Below are 10,766 nucleotides of genomic sequence, written 5' to 3'. Positions count from 1 at the left end.
TTGATAAACACATATTTTAAAATGCACAGATATACCACAAGGGTCATGGAGACCTTAGATTTAGAAAATGGAGACATATGCAAATGAATAAAAAGAAGTTCTTTCCAAGATATCAGAGGTAGCATATTTATAAGTGTTCCCTCCATGTCCTTAAACTGAAAGACACAAAAGGAAGCAAATCGGAAGAGAAAAACCACAAAGAGAAATCTCAAAGAGAAAATTTTAGGGTCAGAACAATGAATAGGAAAAACTCTTAGCCAGGAAAGTAGACAATCAAGAAAATGTGAAAGTAGTGAAACTGCCTTTGCAAAAATTATAACTGAGGAAATTATAAAAGTGAAAGAGATCAGACCTAATGGCCTCCATCTTGCTTCTGACCTTTAAGCTGTCCTTGTTCATTCCTGGGAATAGGCTGAACTAACCTTGAGAAGGAATTCAGTTTATGGTTTGACTCTGAAACAAAATTGATTGACTTTTCCTAAAAAGACAGCCTTCTTGCCTGGGGACCAGTCTGCCTTTCTAGGACTAACAAATTAACTACAAGATTAAAAATTACAGTTGAGGGGTCATTTCGCCTCTGGCTACAAGAGTCTGAAGCTCCCCAAATTGCTCCTGGGGATAACATCACTCTTGTAAAACCTAAGATCAGTGCTTGAGATATTTTGCAGACCCTGCAATGGATGGATCAGCTGACACCACCCAGAGTAGTAACCTGGCTCAACCAGTTCTGCCATCCCACCCAGGAACAGAAGAGAGTAAGAAAACCTCACTTCGACCCCTATGATTTCACCAATCAACACTCTCCACTTCCCAAATTCCTGCCCACCAAATTATCTTTAAGAATTCTGATTTCTGAATCCTCGGGGAGACTGATTTGAGTAATAATAAAACTCCAGTCTCCTGCCCAGCTGGCTCTGCATGAATTACTGTTTCTCCATTGCAATTCCTCTGTCTGGATAAATCGGCTCTGTCTAGGCAGCGGGCAAAGTGAACCCACTGGGTGGTTACAACACCTTGAAATTCTTTCTCCAAGTTCTAGTAATTGATTCCTACCATGCTGCCTCTGGCCTGGAGTTTGTGAGAGTGGATGTGAACCCTGAGATATTTCACTTCCCTTCTGGCTTTTTCTAACCTCTTTCTATGTTGTAATAAATAGCCCCTTTATTAAAATTTCCTCAATTATCTCATTTGAGTGTGCCATTTTTCTTCCTTTCTAGGCCTTAATCAATACACCTAAAATTTATTCAAAGTATTTGGGGGATATTCCTTAGGTTCTCTTTTCTCTAACAACATAGATTTTGCTTGGTCTTTGCTTGTTTGTTTTAAATTCTCTGTAATTGCTATCAGGGTCTTGCAGCTGAATCTGCCATAAATAGCATTTGATGGACTATGGTAATGGTGGTGGTGATGGTGACAAGAAGATTTCATTGTCTGTTTACTTCAGAACATTTTTTCCTTGCTGAAATCTGAGATTAAAATGGCTTTTCCATTACAAAACTCCAAAACATTTTCTGTATATTAGTTAGGATCCTCCAGAGAAACAGAACCAATATATATTATGTTTAATATGTTTATATGTAATATGTATTATGTTTTATATTATGAAATATAATATAATACCCAGGATGTAACTGTTTAACTTCCTCACATCTAGGACAGACAGTTAAAACAACATCTCAACTAGGGAAGCCTACTGTGTCATGGGTGCTAAACATCTGCTCCCTGTTCACTTACTGTAATAAAAGCAATGTTCTCTTTCTCTCTTTCTTTTTTTTTCCATATTATCTCCCCTCATTTAAGAGAAAAAATATGTTACATTTTGGATTTGTTACTTAACAGCGGAGACAACTTCCCACATTAAAGTTTTCTAGCAAAAACTCTTTAATTTGTACAACATTGAAATTCTTCTTGATTTTTAAAGTCACTTTTAGTTTTTTTGCATTTTAAATCAGATTCAATTATAAAAACACCTTTTCATTCTGTGAATATCAGAAACTTCTGCTAACTATTGTTTGAAGAGAAATTTGAAAGATTCTATTTATATTATGTTTATATATTTTATATATTTATATTATATATTTACATAGAATACGTTCTTAACATAGCCTTTTTATCCTTTTTAGTTATTGAGTCTTCAAAGTGTGTGTATTACTAGAATGTTCCACAATTAGGTTTCTAGACGGAAGATTTGTGGCTGATAAAATTGTTCTTCTTATGTTCAGGAGACTTCCACATGTCCTTGCATCCCAAATAATGACTTCATGCTTAAGTCAGATAACCTTTAGTTGATTAAAATATTTCATTAGTCAGAAAATATCTCTCCTTGGCCCTGTCAAATAATTGAGGTATTAATTTCCTTCCTTAGATCCTTCAATCACGGACAAGGGGATAGTCAATAAATTCTGTGATTTGGAGGAATGCAGTGAAAGGAATTGTTAATGCTTTCTGGCACACAAAGCAGTGTTGTTTTTTCTAATTGCCATGGCCTTTTATCCCTATGACATTTAGCACTGAGCGTTAGGCAAAATAGAATATTGATATTTAGTGAGATGTAGTTCAAATCGGTGTTAATTCTTTAGATCAGTGGATAGTAAACTATGGCCTATGGGCCCAAATCCTGTCTGTTTTTGTATAACCTATAGCTAAGAATGATTTTTACGTTAAACAAAGAAAAATAATACTTTATGACCTGGAAAATTATATAAAATTCAAATGCTAGTGTTCATCGGTATAGTTTTATTAGAACACAAGCACATTCATCCGTTACATGTATATAGGTGCTTTCACAATACAACGGCAAATTGACTAGTTGCCACAGAGACTGTAAAGTCTAAAAAAATCTGGCTCTTACAGAAAAGTTTGCTCACCCCTGCTTTAAATAATCCAGTTAGTTTTTTCTTTACTTAAAATAATAACCTAACTGAAAAACTTAACTTTCTTGGTAGCTACTAAAACAATAATGATTGACTACTAGTTTTATAAGAGAATAATAGGCATTCTAGTATTATTCCCAGAGACAAGGCCATTGCTGAGGAGATAATGGAATTATATAAAATTGTTTAGAATTTATCTCTTGTTATCAGATATGGGAATATGGTGTCAACTCATATTTGCCAGTGCTTCTGAATATCTTTAAAACCTTATTTAGGACCTTTTACTCTCTCAATATATAGCAAGAGCAAGAAAGGGAGCCCAAATCATTGTTGGCTTCAGATTAAATCAGTCTCACCATGTGTCTCATAAAATAATGTCTACTGAAGGCTGGGTGCGGTGGCTCATGCCTATAATCCCAGCACTTTGGGAGGCCAAGGCGAGCGGATCACCTGAGGTCAGGAGTTCAAGACCAACCTGGCCAACATGGTGAAACCCCATCTCTACTAAAAATACAAACATTAACTGGGTGTGGTGGCACGTGCCTGTAAGCTCAGCTACTTGGGAGGCTGAGGCAGGAGAATCATTTGAATCCTGGAGGCGGAGGTTGCAGTGAGCCGAGATTGTGCCACTGCACTCCAGCCTGGGTGACAGAGTGAGACTCCATCTCAAAAAAAGAGATGAAGAAAAAAAAAAAAAGACTACTGTAATAGACACCCTGCTTTCACTGATGCCCACTATAAAAGACAATAAAAAAAATCTATGGATAATTTAGCACAAAACAAAACAACTGTTATTCTATACCTATATTTCTGACACAAAATATATGGGTCTTTTTCCCACACCATTCAATTCTCTAACTCTCTGGACACTAACAGTGTGTCTTATAATTTGATTCTGTCACTAACTACTCAAAGCTAGTGTAGACCCCCCAGGTAAAGGGCATAGTGCCACAAGACTGCTCCCCACTTCAAATGCCAATCACAGGTCCCAGTTTGTCACCTGTACTTCTGACTTACTGGCTGCAAATTAAGAGTTCCCACAACTCCCAACTTGAGTTCAATAATTTGCTATAACAGCTCTCAAAACTTAGGGAAACATTTACTTATGTGTATTAGTTTATTACAAGGGATATTACAAAGGATGCAGGTGAACAGTGAACAGGTACATAGATGAAGTCTGAAAACATCCTTAACACCGGAGCTCTGTCTTTGTGGAGCTGAGGGTGTGCCACCCTCCTGGCACATATATGTGTTCACTAACCCAGGAGCTCTTTAAACCCTGTGCTTAGAGTTTTTGTGGAGGCTTCATTACATAGGCATGATTGATTAAATCATTGGATATTGATAATTAAGTCAATCTCTAGCTGCTCTTCTCTCCCCCGAAGTCAGAGGGGCTGAACATTCCAATCCTTTAGTCATGCCTTGCGCTATCTGGTGACTAGCCCCATCCTAATGGTATCTAGGAAATACAGCCACCAGTCATCTCATTAGCATGCAAAAAGACACATCACTACAGAGATTTGAAGGTTCTTAGAAGCTCTTGTGCCAGGAACCAGGACTAAGACCAAATATTATAACAAAAGATATTACAGTCAGGAAATTACAGGGATTTTAGAAGCTCTGTATCAGAAATGAGGGCAGAGACCAAATATATATTTCTTATTCTGTCACAGATATAGTATGGATGTATTTTCTTCATCTTTGTACTCAAAATGGGCCCCAGCAAATATAAGAACAGGTGTTTCAATTATGGTCTCATCCATGACTCTTGATTCTTGATGAACAATTGCACATAATATCTTTGTTTTTTTTCCCCCTTGCAATCTAGTTCTCAGCAGGAAATTTACTGAGCTGCCAACTTGTGATCATCTAATTGACTCAGAAAGAATCTGAATGAGTTTCTAAATATCCAACTGAAATCAATTGTGACTCTCTTTATTTTAGGCCCCAGGCAGATTGAAATTGAGACAATAAATGGAAGCACCTCATTCTGAAAGAATGAGAGTTGGCAGCTTTGCAGCAAACATCACATACATAAACCCTCACACTCACAGACACGTATACACATACAGCACACTCACATGCACACTCATTTACAAAGTTTTATATTTGGAAAGAATACGTAATTGGATATATGTTTGGCATCTTAAAAGTCCTAGCTTCCTACAATCCATGATTTCAGCAATCTAGAAAAACATTTCATCTAATAAAATAAAATATTAGGACCATATTAGTCCATTTTGTGTTGCTTATAACAATACCTGAAACTGGGTAGTTTATAAAGAAATGAAATTTATTTCTGACAGTTATGAAGGCTGAGAAATCCTAGGTTAAGAGGCTGCATCTGGTGAGAGCCTTCTTGCTGGTGGTGACTGTGAAGTCTTGAGTCATTATGGGACATCACCTGGTGAGGGGGCTGAGTGTGCTAGCTCAGGTTTCCCTCCCTCTACTTCTGAAGCCACCAGTCTCACTCTCACAGTAACTCATTAATCCAATAACTCATTAGTCCCTTAATTCATGAATGGATTAATCAATTCACCTCTTAAAGCCCTACCTCTCATTACTGCCAAAATGGGTTTTAAGTTTCAACATAGATTTTATAGGGGACAAACACTCAAACCATAGCAAAGACTATTGCTGGTAGTGGAGAGCCACAACTAACACATTGCTTAATTACTTAAAAATGTCTGTAACCTTAGTTTCTCCCAAAGGTCTTGAGACTCTTTCTTTTCACCATATTTTTCATTTTCCTCATGGAAAAGTTTTTCCCAAGGTTCTTCTATTTGTACACATTTTATATTTAAATGTTTTCATTAAATTCCAATTTGTGTGAAATGGAAACAAGAATTTCAAACAGTATTGTTATGGGTTTAGTAGCCCATCTGCTGTTCTATCTTCTTTTTCTAACAGTTAGAGAAGGAACAACTGTGAGAATAAACAAAGTATTTAACACCATGCCTGTATGTTAGAATTCTAAGTATCTGAACCTTCAGAAAGGAGGAACTGACTCTTCAATTTTCATTGTGGTATGCAATCATGATGAGCACTATTAGGAACTGTGATTAGAGGTGAAGCATTTGTAGCATTCTAGTGAGCATGAAGTGATTAAACAAACACACATCCTGAACTATTGTTTTCAGGAGAATGTTTAATGGTGGGACTGCAAAGTGATCTGGCTGCAATGCAGTGAGAGAACTGTTTCAGTTCAGATCCTTACAAAGGAGGCTTTTTCCGACAATGGAGTTCCCCAAACCCTATTCCTATCCCTCCCAAAAGAAAAGAGCATGTGGTGGAGCCACAAGAACAACACAACAAACCAGTTGTACACAGACGAAGGCCATTTCTGACCTGGCTAGGAGAGCAGAAGCAAGCACTTTGCAACCACATTGGAGGAAGGAACATTGGTAAGTAACAGTTCAAGACACAGCTTGGAAAAAACTTTGTTCCCAAGCCCAGTTTATGGCCTTAGACAGATAAAAGCCCAATAGAGTGTAGAACTGAAGTGGCATCGTTGTCTGGGTTAACACCTGAGGTTTGGTGCCACATACCAAGGAAATCAAGGACATGGACATTCACAAGGGGTGAGTTTGAGAGCAGAGGTTCAATAGGCAAAAGAAAGAGAAAAGAGAATAGTTCTCTCTCCTGTGGAGAGGGTGTCCTGAGTGGGTCTTCTGGCCCGCGGCAGAATGCATGGGTTTTATAGACTGGCTTGAGTTGGTGGTGTCTGATTTACATAGGGCCCAAAGATTGGTTGGACCAGCTATGCCATTTACAAATTGCACAAAGAGGCCTGCCACCCCAAACTAATCTTTTATTATGTAGATGGGGTCTCTTTCTGGCCTGGGCCATGTTGTCTGTTCTTGCCATAAATGTGGTTGACAAAGAAAAGGGAAGAAGAAGCCTCCATGTTGAACATTCCTGGCCCCCAGGTAGCCTTTTCCTATTGGCAAAGCGGCTAGCATTCACCTGTGCAAGCTTCCAGCTTGCTTATCTATGTCAGCAGCTCAATTTTACAGGTTGCTCTTTCTTAAAAAAATGATTTGGGGGCTGCTTTTCATTAAAAGGAAAACCTTACTGAGGACATCCTTACCCTATCTGCCTAAATAACTTTTTTTAATGCCTGTATGGGCTCCACCAAAGAGAATTAACAAAATTTGGACAATGCACTGGAAAAGGGATGTGTTTGTCAGAGGCATTTGAACCAGAGTGACACCATCTTGAATAGGAACTGGGTAAAATAAGGCTGAGACCTACTGGGCTGCATTCCCAGACTGTTAGGCATTCTAAGTCACAGATTGACATAGGAGGTTGGCATAAGATACAGGTCACAAAAACCTTGCTGATAAAACAGATTGCAGTAAAGAAGCCAGCCAAAACCCACCAAAACCAAGATGGCGACAAGAGTGATCTCTGATTGTCCTCACTGTTACACTCCCACCAGTGCCATGACAGTTTACAAATGCCATGGCAACATCAGGAAGTTACCCTATATGGTCTAAAAGAAATGGCATGAATGATACACCCCTTGTTTAGCACATATTCAAGAAATAACCATAAAAATTGACAACTAGTAGCCCTCAGGGCTTCTGTGTCTATGGAATAGCCATTCTTTTATTCTTTTACTTTTTTAATAAACTTGCTTTCACTTTACTCTATGAACTTGCCCTGAATTATTTCTTGCGTGAGATCCAAGGACCCCTCTTGGGGTCTGGATCAGAATCCCTTTCTGGTAACATCTTTCTGGCAACCGTGGGAGGGACAATAGTGAGGAAACCCCCGACCCAAAGACTAACTTTGGGTAAGTGGTGGGATCTGATAACATCTTTCTGGTGAACCACAGAAGGGACAATACTGGAGACCCCCTGACCCAGAGGAAAATCATCTGCATGCACCAATTGGCTGACTTGGGTAAGTGGGGTGCATATACCCAGGTAAAGGATGAGGTTGGGTTAGAGACCCAACTTAGGGAAGTTAAGTCTCTCCTACAACAGAGTGGGTTAAAGGCCCCTCTTAATAAAAGGCAAGAGCGCTTGACTGAATTTGGGTTCGAGGCCCAACTTAGGAAGGTTAGAGTCCTTCCTAAGATTTAGGGGGTTAGCGGCCCTTCTGGGTAAAGACCCTCTCAGCTAAGAATGGATTTCGCATTATGAGATGTTAACTGCTATTCTTTTTGGATTAATCTACCTTGCACTCTCTGCTGATGGCTGTGGGTGACAGAATTAGGCATGTATGGGATTATGGGACATGGGGAACTTTTTTCTCTCCTTAAAGATGGAAACCCAACAGCTGATGGGACTGCTGTAAAAGATCCCTTCACAACTGACAAATGACCTCCTGGACTTTTCAGTGTCACTGCAATGGGTGGATTTTTCTCTGGCCTCCCTGAGCTGCTCACCTTCTCCATCCTGCCGTAGGCAATGCTTTTCTCTCTCTGCTTTTCGTTTCCTATCTTTTCTATTACTCAGAGCTGCCATCTTGCCCAGAGACCACATGTTGAAACTCCTGGTGGGAGGTTGGATTAATGATGATGGGGCCCAACAGGGGCATGTTTGAGCCTTGCCAGTTTGGTGGTGGGTGCTAAGCAGAGGGACTAAACTCTATGTTTTGTCACACGTATTTTTACTCTGGCCAGAACAGAAAAAGGTAATTTTCCTTTTTGTTGTGGCTTGGCCCCAGGGCTGTGGTGCAGGCAACTGGGTCACTAGGGCCGCTCAGGGGGAGGGAACCCAGAATCCTGGCATACTGGCAAAAGAGTAAGAATTGTTTTTTTCTTTTTTTTTTTTTTTTTTTTTTTTTTTGAGACGGAGTCTTGCTCTGTCGCCCAGGCTGGAGTGCAGTGGCGCAATCTCGGCACACTGCAAGCTCCGCCTCCTGGGTTCACGCCATTCTCCTGCCTCAGCCTCCCAAGTAGCGGGGACTACAGGCACACGCCACCATGCCTGGCTAATTTTTTTGTAATTTTTAGTAGAGACGGGGTTTCACTTTAGTAGAGACGGGGATGGTATCGATCTCCTGACCTCATGATCCACCTGTCTTGGCCTCCCAAAGTGCTGGGATTACAGGCGTGAGCCACCATGCCAGGCCAAGAGTAAGAATTTTTTTTACCAGTCAGACTACTGCTCTGTTTCTCTCTGTCTGTGCAAACCATTTGAATGAATGGTAAAAATCACTGTTTATCTCCTCTGTAAAGTTGTTATTAATGGGGAAAAGTATTTGTGAGGCTAGTCTTCAACTGTAGTGAATTTAGTTTGCTTTGTGTGTCTTTCTGTATTGTTTTGTCACAAAGAGGGGTACCTTAGGATAGAATGAGGGCCTAGGACCCTATTAGCCTGCAGTTCAAGATGGTCCAGCAAACTGGTCAGTTACAAACTTTTCTGCAGGCCCCTGAAAAAAACAACTGGATAAAGTTCCTTCTAATCTTGTTTCATGTCCTTGGGAGCTTGACTTTTTAACCATGTGGCAGTACATTCTCTTGGTTTCTGCCATCACAGTGGTGGCCTGGGTTCAGAGTTCAATTCCTGGCTGGTTTATCTTCTGTTTATTTATATGTATTATGGGTGTGATGCTTATATATGACAGAACTTTAATTAATTGGTTTAATAATAATAAGAGCCTAAATTTTATCAGAAAAGTAAAAAGTGTAATGCCTCTTAGTTTACGTGACTTTAGTAACCTTTAGGAAATAAAAAACAGTTTTACATGCAAGGTATATAAGAAAAGCGAAATGTGTTTTAGTAAAAGATTATAAGAAGTCATGGGAATGTGGATTTTTCTTCCTAAAGTGTCAAAGGATTGTTTTAAGTTAGATAGGGTAAAGCTGAAGGTTTGAGCAACTTGTGGAAGGTCTATAAAAAATTAATCATATAAAAAATTATGTGTGAACATATTAGCTAAAGTTAAATGGGTATCCAGTTTTTCCATAAATTGAACATTGGAATAAAAGCACAACAGAGCTTAGAGCACTGATTTGCTCTTTAACAAAAAATTGTAAAGGGTTATAAAAGGTATGAAAATCTTACCTTATGATCATGCTAATTAAATTGGATAGATTTGCCTATAAGATTTTATTAAGAATTGGGTTTAACATTAATAGTACACTAATACAAAGGTGAAATTTGCCTTCTTTGGTATAAAAATCATACAGGAAGCATTGTCAAATATGAAATGGTGTTTGGCTTTCTTTGAGCTGTGTTTCTATAAATTTGTTATTGGTATATGTTTCAAAATTATGGGAAACTCCTATAATCGTAATATGACTTAGTATATCTTTTTAATATTTATAATTGTTAAGTAAAATATTTTTGAGTTATTACTTAAAATGTTTCTGATTCTTTGTTTTGTTTTTCAGAGTCAAGGAAACTTTTCTTGAGAGCTATTTACAGCTTTTAACAATTGAGTAAAGTATACTCCTGTGAACAAAATTTGGAGCATATTTGTTTCTCTCTACCTGATTTCTCCAAAATTTGGAAATTACTTATGAACATTCTTAACTTATGCAATATAGTTATTTGCATAAGTGATATAAGAATCTGTTTACTTTTGCAACAAAACACAATTGGAGAAACTGGTTATTTTAGTTAGGCTTTGACTTGAATGGCATGCTTTCCTTTAAGGAATCAAACTTGACTTATAGAGCCAATAAAAGCCCCTTAGAAAACTGGCCTCATACCTTGTCTACACAGTCCCTGTGTACAGTTCCTGACCTGTGGTAAGTAAAGAATGTCACTTTGTGACAGTCCCATAAGCCCCAAGTTATCCTGGGACCTTAAGAGGAGAGACATTTACCCAAATCATAGGAATCTGAGAGTACAAACCCATGGCAGGGCTCAGCCCTAAAAGTCTTATCTGAGATTCTCTCTATGGAACAGAGTTCCATCAAAGCCAATTTAATAA

The 10,766-nt window shown here is 38.6% G+C and overlaps 1 annotated feature.

Moving 5' to 3' along the window:
• Positions 5,159-5,348: an enhancer, noted in NCBI's record as "active region_16611". NCBI's record gives its function as "activates an Ori minimal core promoter by ATAC-STARR-seq in GM12878 lymphoblastoid cells {active_cell/tissue: GM12878}" and the evidence as "EXISTENCE:reporter gene assay evidence [ECO:0000049][PMID:35858748]".

The sequence above is a fragment of the Homo sapiens genome, chromosome 2 (genome assembly GCF_000001405.40).
Source record: "Homo sapiens chromosome 2, GRCh38.p14 Primary Assembly".
Lineage (NCBI taxonomy): Eukaryota > Metazoa > Chordata > Mammalia > Primates > Hominidae > Homo > Homo sapiens.
Note: the sequence above shows the minus strand (reverse complement) of the source record. Positions and strands in the feature narration are given on the sequence as shown.